Consider the following 18,574-nt stretch of genomic DNA (forward strand, 5'->3'; position numbering starts at 1 on the left):
TTTTTTAATCAAGTGCCTTTGATTTTTTGTTCCTGTTGCTTTTAAAAATTACACCCTTAGTTAGAAATAAGTATGCACCTACTGGCTCTTGAACTCTAATTAACCATGAAAAAAATATATATGTATGTGTATAAATATGTTTAAAACTGGCCTCCTGGCCCGGCACACTGACTTACAACTGTAATCCCAGCACTTTGGGAGGCCAATGGGGACAGATCACCTGAGGTCGGGAGTTTGAGCCGAGCCTGGCCAACATGGCTAAACCCTGTCTGTACTAAAAATACAAAAATTAGCCAGGTGTGGTGGTACATGCCTGTAATCCTAGCTACTTGGGAGACTGAGGCAGGAGACTTGCTTGAGCCCAGGAGGCAGAGGTTGCCGTGTGCCGAGATTGTGCCACTGCACTCCAGTCTGGATGACAGAGCAAGCCTCTGTCTCAAAAAACAAAAAACAAACAAACAAACAAACAAAAAGAAACTGGCTTCCCGTTATCCAGAATTGGATTTCCTGATGAAACATTGAACTTACTTGTGACTCTGTCATTCTGGCATACTATCCTTTCAGAACCAAAAATCTGGATTCTCTGTCTTTTCAACTCCCCTGTCTATACTAGGGAGCTAAACACTCCTGAAGAAACCTTGATGACCATAAAAATCACTGTCACTATGCATGTGTGGTCTCAGGTCTCAACCAGAGCCTCAGAATCCCTCCACAGAACTTCAATATGTCCCAAATTCCTGCAACAAATCATTCTTGAGCACTTACTCTGTGGCAGATAAGTGCCACACTCTTCTAGGTACAGTTTGGGGACACAGCAGTGAACTACAAAGACAAGCAGACCTGCCCTCTTCCATTTTCCACAGTGGCCATCTCATTTTGGTGCTGTTCTTTTTAAAGAAGCACTTGGCAACTCTCCCTCCCCCTCAGGGGAAGAAGAGGCCATCCAGCTTTTCCTCAGGGTCTCTCCACCCTGGGCCCTACCTACAAACTTACCTGATTCTGAGCCTGTTTTTACCTTCCATTCAAAGGAGGAGATACAGCTCTTCCTGTTGCAGCACACACCCCATCACTGCCCATCTTTTCATACACTCACTCCATTGAGTAGCCCTTTCTGCATTCGGTTTGAAGTTTCTTCTGGAGAACAGTGAACATATGTCAGTCTTTTCTGTCTAAAAATATATGTGTAGTGAGTGTGTGTAGGTGGGAGTGTATCTCTTCATGGACTTTGCATCCTCAGTTTTCTCCTTCTGTTTACAAATAGATGTCTTGGAAAGATAGCTATGTGCGGTCCCTGTTCCCTCACTTTTCAGTCACTCCTCACGTCACTGCTATTCATTTCTAGCCCTAACACATCGCCAAAATTTCTCTGGCCAAACAGAGTATCTGACACAACCTCCTTGAAATATTGTTCTCTCTCACTTCCATGGGATCTCCCTTTCCTAGAGTTTCTACTTCCATGTTTACTCCTCTGTCTCCTCTGCCAGCTCCTCCCTTCCTTAAATGCTTTTGTTACCTTGAATCCCTTGTCACTGAGTACATTCTTCCTGGGTGGTTGAATAAGCCCATTCACTATGACAGTTTCAGCCACCTTTCACCCCCCAGCCCCAGACTAACTACCACGCAAACTCCAGATCATGGTCTGCAGCTGCCTTTTGAACATTTTCATTTGAGTATCCCCAGACTTAGCAAGGCTCACACTCAACATATTTTAAACCAAACTGTTTTTCCTCCTGGATTTCTTCCTTAGTAAATGGCTTCAGAAACCAGGGAGTCACGCTTGATTCTTCTCATCACTGCTTCATCCCAGGTCTTATCAACTCATGCTAATCCTACTTTCTTGATATTTCCTCAAAGTCATCCTGTCTGACCCCACTGGCACTATATTATCACTGCATGTCGTTCCTGCTTCCTCATTTCTGACACGGAAAATTGAAGATGTTTTACCTGGTTTCTTTAGATCCAACAAAAATATGGAGCCACTGGCATCTCTAAAACTGTCTGCTTGCCTCTGTGTCTTTGCATAACTTCCCCACTGGCTGGAACAATCTTTGCTTTTATTTCATCTAACATATGCTTCTTCTTTAAGACATAACTCAGGAATCACCCTTACTTTCTCCTTCTACCCTATGTTCTCTCCTCTTCCCTTTCAGAGCTCCATCTTACAAATCTGAATTGGATATTGGATATTCCATCCATTTGTGCCTCCGTTTTTCATCTGTAAAATGAGGTTAATAATAGCATTTATCTCATAAAATTATTCTAAGAGTTTAGTGAGTAAATATTTATAAACTACTTACAGCAGTGCCTGGACTTTAGTAAGCACTATATAAAAGGTTGCTAAATAAAAATTTAAAAAATACAATAAAATATGGAAACACTATATATACTGGTGATGAGAACAGCCTTTGGAATCACATAGATCTAAATTTGAATCCCAGACCTCCCCTTAGTAGCTTTGCACCTCAAGCCACTATATAAAGATTTTGAACCTCAGGTTCCTCATCTATAAAATGAGCCAAATGTTCACCTTATGAGATTGTCTGTCATGCAGAGGTAATGCCTGCGAGGCACTTACTATGTAACACTCCTTGCTCATTATTTACTCCAGTTGGGCGTGGTGACTCATGCCTATACTCCTAGTAGCTCATGCCTGTAATCCCAGCACTTAGCCTGGCAGAGGCGAAAGGATAGTCTGAACCCAAGGAGTTGAAGACCTGCCTGGGCAATATAGTGAGAAGCTGTTCTCCACAAAGAGAAAAGAAAAAAAGGACAAAAAACGAAACAATTGAACTCATTACTTACTCTACCAGCACGATGTGTTTGTCCAAATCACAACAGTTATGGCACTGTATTGTAACTATATTTTTATTTACCTACATTTTACATTCCTTGATCTTTGTCTCTGAAGTTTGGACAGAATCTGACATGTAGTCAAATGCTCAATGAAGACTTGTTGAATGAACATTTAACCATGAAGGCATTGTCTCCAGGCTCCTATGCTGGTTAGGAATGAAGACTGTATTTATTCCATTTTTTTTTTCCACTTCCTATGCACTCACTGCTCTCAGAGAGTCTTTTGTGGCTAATTCCATGTGCCTCTAATGTCTTTAATGGACCAGAGTACACAGTTTACACTTTGACCATTGGCCATTATTTATATGAAGCCTACTTTCCAGGCCCACATTCAGCATCTACGACAAGGCAGGCAAGGCCCTGTCTTTGTGGGGTTTCTGTACAGTATGGCTATTTGCTCCTGGGGCTTAGCCAACTTACAGTCAACTTATATTCCGCATTAATTAACTTTCCATTCTGTTTTGAATATTGCATTAAACCCAGTAATGGTCCTGTTCAAGGCCAAGAAAATACCCTGTGCTAGATTTAACTATCTATTAGTTATAGAAAATAGATTATATCTTCCTAGAACTTTGGAGCTTGAAACAAACTTAGCATTTTCCCTTTCCTTGTATGTGTATCGACACCAAATGAAATGACCTGTTCAAGATATTCACTCAGGCAATTAGTGACAGAGCCAAGACCAGAAAGCTGGTTTTAAGTTTCCAGCATCACAATCCTTATACATACACTAATACTTGGCTGTCTTTGCCACTTATGAAGATGGAAGGGTGATCATTAATTGAAATACCTTTGTTTTTGTGCCCCCACTATGTTGTGTCCCTGTTGCTAATAGCCTTATTTAAACCAAACAAACAGCTGTAACAACCACAGACACTTACAACCCTTTCTTTTTGTAGTTCTGGCATTAGCTTGCCCAAATGGTAATAGGAGGTAATGAGCTGTGACAGTAATAACTCAGTTGGGGAGTGGCTCAGACGAAACACAGGGAATTGGGAAGCACCTCAGGAAGACGGTTTTAATTTTACCTTATTTTCCCCAATTTAAAGTAATAATACACTAGGCTACAAAATTTTTATTGCATAAGAAAACTAGGTTTATCTGTTTTCAGCAATTTTAGAGTATACTTGCAAACAACATGTTCATAGATCGTTTTTAGCTCTGGAATTGTTTGTACACTAAATTAAGGCGGAGGTATTTATACCTTATAATTTCAATGTCATGCTGTCCTGTTCATCTGTGGCTTGCAATAGTGCCTTAAAATAATCAAATGGTATTAATAGATAACCTGGGTGGAGAGGGAGGAATGTGGAAAGAGTAACAATGTCATCATTGATTCACAAATTAATTCCATAAATAATAGGATTTACCTCCTGTGCACTGCTTTGAAACGTGCTTTGGTGTCTCATTTCGCTGTAACATTTCACTCTGCTTGCTTCGCTTCATCTTGCCTGGCCTGTTAGACCGCTGTGCTTCTTTGGTTGGGGCCTGTCTCTTCTGTCAGGGCTGGGGAGTGCATCCTGGGTCTTCTCAGGCGAGGCTCCTCCTGCCTGTGTGAGGTCTGCACCTCCTGCTAGGGATGCTGCCCTTGCCTCCAGGAGTCCTACAGGAACAGTCACTGTTGGGGACCTCTCAGCCCTTTGGATTGCAAAAGTGCCCTTTGGACTCTTGCTGAGCCCTGGCTGGTCAAGTGCCTGGAGAATTGTTGTGTATGATCCCAGTCCTGTGAATATTGTCAGTATCAGTCAGCCTTCTTTTAGTGTGTTTGTTTCCTCCCATGCTGCCATAAAGACCTTATGTCCTAGGTGACCTGGCCAACCCTGTGCATCTCTGCAGTAGGCTAATATCAGTGACTGAAAACACTGGATGTGACCAAGGTGTTATTTTACTCATCATCATCATCATCATCATCATCTTTTACAGAATCACCCAGTGGGTACATTATGGTTTAAGTTTTGTTAGCAAGACAAAACTGATTTATTTTCATTTGTTACTTGCACAATGTATAAGCCAAGGACAAATGAAAAGAGATGAAGCTGAAATGTGAATTGTGAAATAAACACAGTTGGGAAAATAAAATTAGAAAATATATTAAGCATTTGGGAGAGATTTTTTGGGTTATTTTTACCCCAATATGAATTTTCATTAAAACTAGACGATTTACTTGCATGTATTTTTGTCCTAGCCATAAATGGTATTGTTACCAACTTGAGTGAACTGTTGCACATTGATCCTTTCTGGGAAAATGTGTTTAAGATCTAAAGTAGATTTTATTATCCAGAAATTATATTCACCTTTGTTATTATTTAAACTTCTTATATTAGAAATATTTCAACTGGCCAACTGAAAATAGCCAGCACTGAATAGGTTCAAGTAAAGTATAGTTTCTAGCTTCTGGAGAAAATAAATAGATAATAATTGAAATATGGAAAAAATAGGTTATTATTTTTAAATCTTCTGCTGTAGCCAAACACAAGGTTACTAATTCTCTCTGGGCAGACTTATGCTTCACTCCTCTGCAAATTCTGTTTCTTAGAGTTGCCTTCTTGGTTCATTCTTTCAAGTGTTTGAGCTGTGGTCAGAGCCTTTTACAAACCTCCTTAGGTTAAAATAGAATGGTCCGATGTCCGTGTGGTAATCAGAGTAAATGGAACATAGGTAGGTGGAGAGGTGTGGTTTTCCTAGAATAAATATTTTGCTATCATCTTCACTGCTGTCACAGTAATAATATTTAGTAAGCACTTGCATGTTAAATCCTTTATTAAGTACTTAATGTGCATTATCTCTTTTAATCTTCATCATAACCCTATGAGGACAGTAATGTTATTACCAGCTATTAAAGCTTGTGATCTTAAAATGTAGAGATTCAGTATGTGAATGTAAATATTATTTGCACCATTGATATTTTCTAGCCTTTCTTTCCCTCCTTTCTGCCCAAAAACTGACTTTCTGGGTAAAAAATTTTAAATAAGCACTTCAAATAACTAAACTTTTACCCCTCTTCAGATTTCTGTGTTAAGCTTCTAAGAATCAAAATATTTTCTGAGATCTATCTATCTATCTAGTGTGCGTGTGTGTGTATATATATATATATATATATATATATTTATATTTCCTGGAATTTGTTTTGTTTTGCTTTTGGTATAGAGTCTCACCCTGACACCCAGGCTGGAGTGCAGTGGCATGATTATGGCTCACTATAGCCTCGACCTTCTGGGGCTCAGGTGATCTTCCCAGCTTAGCACCCCCACCCCCCGACCCCCTCCCCAAAATAGCTGGGACTACAGATACTCGCCACCATACTCAGCTAATTTTTTTTTTTTTTTTGGTAGAAACAGAGTTTTGTCATGTTGCCCAGGGTAGTCAAACTCCTGGGCTCAAGGGATCCGCCCACCTTGGGATTCTGCCTGCCTCGGGATTCCAGGAATGAACTACCGCACCCCAGCCTAACTTCCTAGACTTTGTAAAATGCATCTCTTTAGAAGGGACTACTTGACCAGTGCTAGAGTTAAGGCATGACCAACAATTACTGGATTCGATGTCTCTGAGAATTTGGAATATTTAATGAATCAACCACAGATCAGGCAATGGGGTAAACAAATAGAAGGAAAAAATCTCTGCTATCCTCTCGCTGTCATTTAAAATATGAAAGCAACTCCCATAGGATGGAGATGGAGTCTAGGATTTGCACCTGTAGTAGGAAACTTATTGAGGAGTCACTTTGTGGGGTGTGGGAGGGCAGTGCTGTTTTTTTTTTTTTCCTAGGTTCTTTTGACTTTGTTGAGAGGAAAGATAATAGTAAAGATTATTGTTCAATTTCCCAAAGTATGGTGTTCTTTGTCCTGCAGTGGAAAATGTAGCTTTTCTCTAACTTTCTTTTTACCTCCTGACCCATCTCACTTTGTTCCCCACTAGGAAAATGTTGACTGGATTCTGGCTAAGATGTGTGGCCTCTTGGGAGAGTCTTGTGCCAGAGCGTTCTGTGTAGGAGGCTCACTTTAGGCCAATTTATTCAGGCAGCAGGTCAGGCTAGGGCTGTTGGCCAGAAGTGCTGTGCGTCCTCTGTCTTGGAGACATGGAGCTACTTGGAGCTGAGCTACCGTGTGGTATTAGTAAACATTTCCCGCCCCTACACACACTTGAGGAGCAGAACTCCCCAGAGATGTCTGTGTCTGGTCCCTCACAGCTGGGTTTTCACAGAGGCTAGATGCTCACTTAGCAATCTCGGCTGTGATTCAGGATAACCACAGCCTGCTTCTAGCTTGCTCTTTGATTTTCCTATTGGGAAAGAACAGTCACAGTAAAGCAGTATCTAGGAAGAGGAAAGCCTTCACCCAGTCAGACTTCTGCACAGAGTCCTGTTATACCGCCACTGGGCAGGTGATAGTCGTAGCAGCTAAAGAATGGGGAACAACTGGGGGTGCTCTGTGGCGTTGATGTTAAAGCTACAGAGTCAGGTTTGACCTCAAAGCAATTTCCTAAATTACTAAATACACATAACTCTTATTGTTCATGCTTTAATCCATGGTCTTTGGCATATTATTGGCCTGTTAAATGCTAATAAACCTTTGTTTCTCAGCATGTAGTTTACATGATGGGGACTTGATTAAGAAAGTACTTTCAAGCATCTTATTTCATAGGAAACTTTATTAGAGATAAGATAAGACCCATTCAAATATGCATTCTCTTAAAAATGGGTTGTGAGTTATTCTCAGAATTCTCTGCTGTCTGTCCTTTCCTGTACTCCACTTTAGCTGTTTGGTATCTCTGTTCCAAGAAATTCAGAGCACCTGCCATACCACATCTTAAAAGGAGGAAATGAAAGAGATAAAAGAGGCTCGTTTAGAGGCGAGCTGAGTTTATTTTGTAAATAGTTTTCTGATGGCTCAATCAGGGTTCCTTTCACTTTAATAAACTGCATTCCTCATATTCCCTAGTGTAATTTGGCCACATACTGATCAGGTATCCGTATCAATTGGGATAATTTCATTATAAACTTGTTTTTACAAAGCTAATCTTCACTCTCATTTTAAGCAGCACAGAGTTCCTGGGATCAGTCACAGACATTTTCACCAGACTTCTAAGATGCTGTTTAATTCAGTTCCAATTGTTACTTTAATGCTGTTGAGATGCTAGAAGCTCTCCACATAATAGGCCAGCTGCCTAAGCGTAACACTGATGACCTTTCGTAGGACTCAAAGATTTTGTTTGGGATTGTGTCTTCAGTAATTCATAACAGGTTTTGTTGCTTTTTAAATCAAACATAGTAAAGATTTCCTTTTATGCTCTCCTTTTAGCTACTTGGCTTCTGGAGTGTTACTCTGTTTTCCTAAATTTACAGTAGCTGCCAGTCTTGTGCTGAGTTCTCCTCCAAGTACACTGAATTGTGCAATTCTTGCTTGGCCCAGTTTTGGACAGGCATCTTTCCCAGAACCAAGTGGTCTTCTCAGAGGTTAAACAGTTTTGGCAAAAACTGTAAATAATGACTGAATAAAACCATAAAAACTGAAATCTTAAGAACAGGGGAAAAAGATGATTCCTGACTGCAAGCCACATGGATGCAGAGGACCCATTTTTTTAAAAAAAGTTTGTTTCTCTATTCAAGCCTTCTTAAGTTTGATCATTCTTATGATCTTCTCTTTGCCTCAAATAAAACCACCATTATTGTGCCTTTTATGACTCTTGATTCCTGTTGGCAGTGGTAGGAATAGGAACTATAACTACTGTTTCTTCTTAGTTTATTTTAACCTTTTCATTACCCTGAGTCACAGTCAAACTATGACTTAGAAATAGAAGGTTACAAATAGAAGGGTTTTATAAAAAGACCCACCAAAAAAAAAATTCATTTTTGACAAGGAATAACAATCAGATCATTTAAAGATCTGGTAGAATTTAAGGAACCTTTTTTGGCTAATTTTTTGTTGTAATTTCTAGATATTTCTCTATTTAAAAAAATACAGAATATGAATGTGTTTCTGGTAGATACTTCTGTAGATACATGTTGTTTAATATCTCTATGATCTTGTAAATGCATTTTGGTTTGTGGCTTCTCTAGATGCCTGTTAATAGATTTGGTTTTTCAGAGTAACCCAAAGTGCTTTTCTAGTAAATTATAAAGGACTTTGTTTTAAAACAATGTCTCCATTTTGTAAGTTTTAATATTTACATAAATAGCTACTGCATATGGAGCTCTTGATCATGTAACTGCAGTCCTTAACGTTTATGTTTTAAATTTATAGATTTGTTTCTTTTGATTGAGACATCATCTCCTTCCACACTGCCTTCTCTCTTATGTCTATTTTAACAATGCAACTGGCAGTTTATTAATTCTTCAACTTAGTGATGACTTGTTCTTACATATTGAAGGGTAACATTTACTTTCAACTTTTTATTAAAATGAAAATTCAGAATAATTTTTTAAAAAGAAAAGGAACACAAACCAAGGCTAAAAACAGATAGATGAACAAAACAAATCAGCAGAAAGTTTTGGATTTGTAACTGACCTTCCTCCAAGGAACATCAACCCAGTGTTAGAAGTGACCCACTCCTGTAGCAGCAGCATAGCTTGCTGACTGAGAGCATGGTCTCAGGAGGTTAACTGCCTGGGTCCTGATCCTGTTTCTGCTACTCACTCCCTCTATGACCTTGGGAAAATTTCCTAAATTTTCTGTGAATGAGTCTCTGCATTGGTAAAATAGGCATAATACCGGTATGACTTCTTAGGAGTATTATTAGAATAAAATTAATCAATATTTATAAAGACCTTACAAGAGAGTTTAGTACAAAGTAATTTTCTAATTTTTTTCAAAAATGAAAAATTGATGAAAACGTCTCTACTTTTAAGATAATATGTTTCTCAATTTTGAAAACAGCAAATAAATACTTTCCCTGCATTGAAGCTAGAGCTCCCATTCTAGTAAAGCAACCACTTACACCAATTAGTTATAGAAAACAGGTTTTGTTGAGGAAGATAAGTTAGCAAAGGAGTGTTGGATCTATTTAGACCTAAGAACTTAAAAAAAATTCTTTGTCTACTAAAAATAAAATGATATTTTAACAGGCAAATTAATTTGTAAATCTTATTTACTAAAGTAGGAGTTATGAGAGATTCATTTCTTGGCTTAAGGCTTTTAAAATCTTAATGACATGTGTCATTGTAGTCTAAGATCTGGAAGAAATATTAATTCTCAAATGAATATATCCTATGGGAGGCAACTAGTGGTTTAGTTTGGAATGTCACTCCCATCTCTCTTCATCCTCAGGGCTATTGATCTCACACCAGTCACATCCAATCTCTCTCTCCTAATTGCTTATTGGTTTCTTCCGCCTTTCTGTCATCAGCATAGCTGAGTTCCTTGGTTTGAATCAGACACTAAAACTTTTTTATTTCATTCTGCTATCAAATCTTATTAACACCTCTTCTTCTTTTTGCTAATTATCAGATTTTTCTATCTGTCACTTAACTTCCTCAGCCATGTAATCCCATATCCAGTGTTATCAAACAAGATTTAATTTGGCTTTCCCTTCCTCACCTTAAACTCTCTGAGTTCAAAAGTTAACTTATCTCCCTTTTGTTAGTTTATTTTAATTAAGACAAGTCACATTCTGAGAGAAGACAATCATTTAACAAAGGACCAGTATCTCGAATATCTGAAAAACCTTTACAAATTAATAAGAAAAAGGAGGCAACCCAATATAAAAGTTAGGGAAAAACATGAACATGCTGAACACTCATTTCAAAGAAGAGAAAACATGAATGGCCAATGAACATGAAAAAATGTCCAAACCTATTAGGAAACAAGGAAAGGCAAAATAAAACCACCATGAGACGCCATTTCACACACAACTTGCACATGTTAAATTGTGACAGTTTCAAAGATTGGTGAGAATGTGGAGTAATGAGCACTCTCATACTTGGTTTGTGGGAGTAAATTTTGGAGCAACAATCTTGGGAACAAATTTGGCATTATCTAATAAGATTAAAGATGAGCAAGCCTGTGACCCAACCATCCTACTGCTGGTTACTTAGCATGTATGTTAGGAGACTTGGATAAGATTGTTTCAAACTGCAATGTTAAGAACAGCGATGTTAGGAGCACCAAAAACACTGATGATGACCAAAATATCCATAAATAGTAGAATGAGGCTGGGCACAATGGCTCAGACCTGTAATCCCAGCACTTCGGGAGGCCAAGGCAGGTGGGTCACCTGAGGTCAGGAGTCCGAGACCAGCTTGTCCAACAAGGTAAAACCTCATCTCTACTAAAAATACAAAAAATTAACCAGGCATGGTGGCCGGCACCTGTAGTCCCAGCTACTGGGGAGGCTGAGGCAGGAAAATCGCTTGAACCCAGGAGGCGGAGGTTGCAATGAGCCAAGATCGCGCCACTGCACTCCAGCCTGGGTGACAGAGTAAGACTCTGTCTCAAAAAAGAAAAATAAAAAATAGTAGAATGGATACATCAATCATTGTATGTTAATTCAATGGAATACTAAGCACCTGGAAAATGAGTGAACTACAGCTACACGAATCAACATAGATAAATCTCAAATACAGGATGTTGAGCCGAAGATGCTACTCACAGCAATTTGCGGAGTATAGTTTCCATTCTGATATATTTTTTAGGGGTGTGTACACATGTACTGCTGTGAAAAATACAATAAAAAACAAGGGAAAGATCATTTAATATTTAATACTTAAGACAGTGGTTACTTCTATGGAGAGGAAGATGGATTCAGGAAAGGACTAAAGGAGGCTTCAAAAATATTGTAACCGTCTATTTCTAAGGCTGGAACGAGACATTCTTTCCCCTTTAAAATGGATAGATCCATTATATATAGTTCTATGTCTGATAAATTTTACGACTAGTATATAAATAATTTACATAATCAATAACTACTCTTAGGCTTTTAAAAATATTCAGTTAAAGGTTCTTCAATGTCAGGTGGGTTTTTGTAGAGTCCCTCTCTCAATCTTGATATTTAAGCATTGCATAGTGGAATAGAAAGTTAAGGTTTCAGTGAGGTATTGTTGGAATTAGATAATATGGATATTCACTTGAAGGTACATTGAATAAAACTGGCTTGCTGCCAGTTAAACACTATCTTCTAAGTAATAATGAAGCTGGCTGTTTATAACATTACAAATATTTTACAAATCATGACGATAATGTAATTCTGGAAAAACTCAACTGAAGAGAGTCATATAAGACAGATGCTGAGATGAAAGTATGGAAACAGTGTTGATAGAGGGAAACCACGGACACTGTCTAGAAATCCAGAACGTTGTAAGGTCATGGGCCTTTATTCATGTAGGTGGATTTTAGAGATCCCCTGAAATGATTGGTTACTACCAGAAATCAATATTAGGGGAAGACGGAGAGACCTGAAAACTCTCACAACTCTGTTTTTGTTTTTGTTTTTCCAGTCGCTGCATGGACCATCATATGTAAAAGTGGGCTTGGCACTAAAAAGAAAGGAAAGAACAGTGTGTCCTTCTACAAACACAACTCTGGAATTTCCCTTTTGAGTACTCTCTGACCCTTCCTCCTTTTCACCATCTGCCAAGTGGAGTGTATGACTTTGTGTTTCCACATTTTCTCCTTTCATCCTCTGAATTCTCTACAAAGTTAGAGACTGCAGAGAAACAGAGGGGTGTTCAAGGAGTTAGGGAGTTTAGGATGGGATGCTTAGGGATAGGCCTGCAGAGTTAAGAGACTGCCGTAGGTACCCTGGTGTTTGTTTTTCTTTACCTGAAGCATTTGTAGCCAAGGAAGTTATAGTAGAGGGATTCTGTCAATTCACATCTACTTGCAGTTATATGGCATTCTATAGAGAAGCGCATGATTTTTTATTATAGCATGGCTGCCAAGCAACAAGCTGGTTTTCTTTCCTACATCTTTGGTTTTCAGTTTGCTGACACTCCATCGAAGGCACTTAATTTTAATGCCAAATACAGAAACACAAAGGACATGTGACAATGGTAAGAGGGTGGGGTTGTTGTGTCTTATCGCTATTGTAGGTTGTGGAATCTTCTTATTAAAACTTACATTATACAAAGTACAAAAACAAAAAAACAAGGAACCCACACAAAACAACCCAGAATTAATTCTGGTAAAAATTCACAACTATTTCTGATATGAGGCAAATGTTTTATAACATTGGTTTTAAATGATGTTATTACATGTGTTAAAGTTATCTAGAAATAGAAATTTCCTTCCATTACCCCTCTCACTTGCCCCAGAATTATAAAGGAATGGACATTAGAACATTAGAATCTAAATTTATTAAATTATAATTTGTTTGATTTCTCAATTTTTTAAATCAGTTTTTGAAGTTTAATGAACATTGTTGTTTAGAGAGGCATTACATTATTAGAGATGTGTCAGGAGATAACAGAGATGTTAAAGTTCTTTGCCACCAAAGGAAGTGGGAAAGCAATGTTACTGTGTCATTATTCACATTTGCTAAGGTACAAATTCCTTTGTTAGAAGTAGGCAGAAGAACCGTTCTAGAAATGATAGTTGGACCCAACCAGAGAGTCTCACTGTTTTTATTTAATATTTGTGAAATAAAAAGACTAAAACCATGAAATTGAATCATTTGTATTGGAAAGTGAAGTCTTAATGGATTCTGGTTTAACTATTGAATTAATTTTTCAATAATATATAAAACATTTCTTATTTAAGTTTGTTCTTTTCCAATTTTAGAGCAGGTGGGTGGAGCAATTGAAGGAAATTTCTATTTCTGAAGGACTTTAATAACTATAATGCAGTTGTTTTAGCCCAGTGTTATAAAGAGCAATAGGATATAGAAAGATGAGTAAGAAGGATAGAGAAGTGGTATCTAGGACCAAGGGTCATTGCACAGTTTGTGAGAGTAATAATCTAATACATGTGAACACATGTGCGTACACACAATACTTTTTTTTTTTCGAACTAAGTATCTACTTCTAAAGATCACTCATCTAGAGTTTAACTTAAGCTCCTTTTTGAGCTTCCAGCTCACAAAGCAAACTTCATTTGGGTTGTGGATTACTTAACTATTTTGCTCAATTCTTATTGAGTCAATTGATAACACGTATTTTGTGTTCCTCCTTTTTCTCACTATATGGTCTCCTCATCACTGAAAATGAAGATTGTTGTGTCCACTGTATCCTGGCTTGCTTGTTCTGCGAATTCCTGACCCTTTGCAACATTGTCCTGGGACAAGCGTCATGTGGCATCTGCACCTCAGAAGCCTGCTGCTGTTGCTGTGGTGACGAGATGGGGGATGATTGTAACTGCCCTTGTGATATGGACTGTGGCATCATGGATGCCTGTTGTGAATCATCAGACTGCTTGGAAATCTGTATGGAATGCTGTGGAATTTGTTTTCCTTCATAAATATTTATCTTTTGTTTGTGTTAAAACTGGAGAGTGTTTAAAAATTTCCTTTTGGGGGGAAGAAAAGCACATTGTAAGATTCTCATGAAACAACATGGAATTTGCACTGTTAACTCATTATTGTAAGTAATCTCTGAAAGCCTTTTTACTTTAACCAAATCTACATGGTTTAATATGTGAAATTTTAACTACTTTAACTAGTTTTATAAATTTCTTAATATGTTACAATAACTTAGGGACATTTTGACACCCCCCTTCCCAAATGTTAAATGCCTTCTCCTTTTTACCGATATTTCTGTTTCTTTTAACCGTTCTCAGGAGCACTTTGCTCCAAATATATTATTTTTCAGTGTGTATTTAAACGAGGCAGTTTATTTTGATATGTATCTATTCATGATTGAAAGGAAGCAGTCTTGGCCAGGCACGGTGGCTTACACCTGTAACCCTGGCATTTTGGGAGGCCAAGGTGGGCAGATTGCCTGAGCTCAGGAGTTCGAGACCAGCCAGGGCAACATGGTGAAACCCCATCTCTACTAAAATACAAAAAGTTAGCTGGGCTTGGCGGTGTGCGCCTGTAGTCCCAGCTACTCAGGAGGCTGAGGCAGGAGAATTGCTTGAACCCGAGAGGCGGAAGTTGCAGTGAGCCGAGATTGTGCCACTGAACTCCAACCTGCACTCCAGCCTGGGCAACAGAGCGAGACTCCATCTCTAAATAAATAAATAAATAAATAAATAAATAAATAAATAAATAAACAAACCAGTCTTTATTTTAAAAGAAACTTTAGGAAACAAACCCACATAATAGTTGGGAACCAGTGTTGATCTCTCTCCCTTACCTTCTCCACTTGTTCAACAGACTCTGAATGCCGACTGTGTGGACTCTCTTCCTCAGACTGTGGGGACAGATACAATTCCACTCCTGTCCACAGGAACATGAGATTTAGCAGACTAAGGAGATCTGTAAAGAATGAACCATACCACAAGGCATACTGAAGTGAGGATTATAAGAGAAATAAACTCAAAATGCTGTTGGAATATGCAGAGAATTGCTACCAGAATATTCAGTAAGGTTTCAGGGAGAATGTGGCATTTGAGGACTCTCTTAGAATGAGTGATTCACCTGCTATTTAAATGAATTATTTAGATTTTTGACAAAGATTTAGGTGGACACCCTAAACTGTGTGTGCCTTTAACCAGTTAAAAGAACAGTGCCTTCAGCATACTTTTTTATTAGTTGTAGGAATACAGCTTTTTGAAAAAGCTATAAAGTTTAAATTAACTAAAAATATGCATTTTCTTACACATAATTTAAATGTTATCATACTTTTTTGATGAAAACATAATGCCTTAGTAAAATAGCTCTATTTAATAAAGAAGATTGAGTACTCTGACACATTTCATTTAAATTAGGAAATTTTTAATATTAAAATCCCAGTGTTCTGAGTTATTGAAAGGCTTTCTTTTATTTTGAGAGCTTTAGGTCTTTTTGGGATGAGAACATTTTAGTTGTTTAGTTTGTTTCTTAAGCAGTGCTATTTTTTGTAAACACAGATAAATGGAAACCATTCTTTTCAATGCAGAAGAAATCTAGATATCCCCTACTGTGACCAAATTTCTGTATTACGATTTTATGTTAAATTAAACTAATATGGCAGGTTATAATGATCCTTAAGTGTAAAGAAATCAGTCAATTACAAGAGTAATTGTATAGTTATTGAGACCTATAGTGTGTGGCTTAGATGAAAGGGAGAGTAAATTTTCATACCATGCTCTCTCCTACTCAGTTTGATCTCTCTAAAATTGTAGTTTGGTTTGATTTAATATAATTCTTAGTAGAAATTTTGAAAGTATGCTTTGGGATTAATAATTATTTTTAATTTTTCTGGCTGAATATCAAATTGATAGTAACAACAGAAGCATAATTTTAGGAAGGCTTTCGCAAACCTAGCCTTTTAAGAGAGGTTTTTAACCTGAAGCATGAGAATATATCACCTGTGGTTTTTCCTTTGAGATGAAACGTAGTTTCTAGTTATATCATTACTTAAAGGGCTTAAAAAGAAAAAACTTAGCAAACTTTTGAATCTTTCTTTTATTGCTATTTACACATACATACACACATACAAAACCTTTAAATTTTGGGATCTGAATATAATTCTGGTAAACAGCTGTCTTCATTTTTCTCCTCTAAAGAACTTAATTCATTTGTTACATAAAATATAAGGAAATCTTTATACTATTTTACAGTAACCACAATCTAAATATTTACATATACCCAAAATTAACTTATGCTCATATATTAGGATGTGAGAATATCATCTGTTTATGGACACATGAAACCTCCTAATGACCTGGAATTGTTAGAATATTTGACTTTTTATATGCAAAGTTTTTCAACCAAGTGGTTTGTCTAATATTTAAACATGTACTGGCACAATTTGTGATGAAAATATTAGCACATTTGCAATAATGTTTCTCCATAACAGAGAATGTTAATGGATACCAGAATTTTATTTTTGTATTTATGTTCATAGTACTTTTCCTCTTGTCTACTCCAGACAGTTATTCCATAAAGCATTTGTATAATTAAAAGGAAAACAGAAAAAGGAAAAGTAGGCAAATGTGAAAATAGTTTCAATATATCTTATGATTTCTTAATGTAAAATGTTTTGTTGAAGTATATGGCTATCATGACTAAGTGCTAGAATTTATAGTTACAGGCGGTGTCCTTTTAAATGTGGAAAGGCTTTTAAAATATTTTAAAACTGGACCTGTATTATCCTGAATACACTATTTTGAAAATTTTTAAAAATGACTTCTTTATTTTGCTTTACCGTATGTTTATATCTAATTGACATATTGACTAATGTTTGAAAGAATTCAACCATAAGTTAAAATCTGAAGGTTATCTTTATCATGTTTCATCCCTGTCTGAAGATTTCCTAGTCTTCTTATGTAAATCACATGACTCATGTCCGTAAATGAACTATGAAAGATATCGATCAGTTTATGATCATTGACATGTGATTTCAAAACACAGTGTTCTTTTAAAAATCTATAATATGTCAAAATACAAGTTTTTTTTTTTTACATCGTTTTAGTAAGTTAATTTCATTTATTTACTTTGGAGCTATATTTCCACTTAGAAAAACTAAGGTAATTTTACAATATATGCTGAGATTAAAAACCAAGGTAAAAATGATCAAACATATATGAAATTGAGTCTTAGATTTAATGAATTTCACTCGAAAATAAATGATCAGAAGAATTTTCATCTAAGGCATAGAGTGGCGAAATTTTTGTAAATGCTCGCAGTTAGCATCTAACTAAAACAATACAGTATGACTTTATTTAGGAGAAGGCTTTTTATTTAGAAAATTATTTTTTCATTTTTACAGTGTATCAACTGTATCCATTTTCCTCACCTGGATAGTCAATGTTATCTGAGCAGTTCAAGGAGTAACCAAGGCAACCTTATGTAATAACTTTCCATTCTTTATCCATACAAACTCTTTCAGTGCCCTAGATTCTAATGTTATAAACGTCAAACATCACTGCCCAACATAAATAAGACTCGAGACTTATTAACATAAATAAGTATCTTGCCTTCTTGAATGCTAGTTAAATGCTTAGATTTACCTAACTGCCTAATGAATCAGGTTATTTGTTAATAAGATTATTTTTCAAATTATTTAAGACCTTTATGCCCCTTCCAATTACTTGTGATTTGTAGGCCTGTAGGATTGTTGCATCTAATCTGACTGGCAACAGAAAATGTCATCAAATACTATAATATCCATTTTGTTTTCTTTTGCACTAATACAACAGAACATATCATTTTTGTTTTAAACAATGGTTAATATATTAATAGGGTTTGTTCCACACTTACTATTTATAGTTTTTATAATCAAGCATTGGGTATTAAAAGAGAATCCTTTCAACCCTTCATCTTCGTATGCTTATACAATAAATTGCAGTGAGTGTTTTCTTTGTGCTTGGATTGATACTAGACACCTCAAGAAAGTCACATAACCCTCAAGAAGTTTCAACCCAGGGAATAAGTTTGGCACCTCCCATGAGAAAACAGTTTCAACGGTGAACCTGCCAGTATTTACTTCCTTATTTAAGATTGCTTTTAGAGTTTGTTTAAAATAGAAGAAGTTGTGGAGAGGGGATACTATTGTAATGCAGCCCTAACATGGAGGGTGGGTGTTGCAAAAACTGTCATTGGTGACTAAATCTTCTACATACATTGCAAAATTCTCAGTGGACAATGACTGCCCCTTTTAAAACACTGTAACTCAAAATATCATATTTATGACCAAATTTTTATGAAGACA

General features: G+C 36.9%; 1 protein-coding gene across 2 annotated transcripts in view; it reads left to right on the plus strand.

Annotated features, from left to right (window-relative positions):
* Positions 1 to 18,219, plus strand: part of MDFIC (MyoD family inhibitor domain containing) — a 97,824-nt gene extending 79,605 nt beyond the window's left edge. For both annotated transcript variants that reach the window (NM_001166345.3, NM_199072.5), the window contains exon 5: positions 13,990 to 18,219. In NM_001166345.3, the coding sequence (NP_001159817.1) occupies positions 13,990 to 14,237 (248 nt within the window). In that variant the 3' untranslated portion in view covers positions 14,238 to 18,219. The remainder of the gene's footprint in view (positions 1 to 13,989) is intronic.

This window comes from Homo sapiens, chromosome 7, assembly GCF_000001405.40.
Source record: "Homo sapiens chromosome 7, GRCh38.p14 Primary Assembly".
Taxonomy (NCBI): domain Eukaryota; kingdom Metazoa; phylum Chordata; class Mammalia; order Primates; family Hominidae; genus Homo; species Homo sapiens.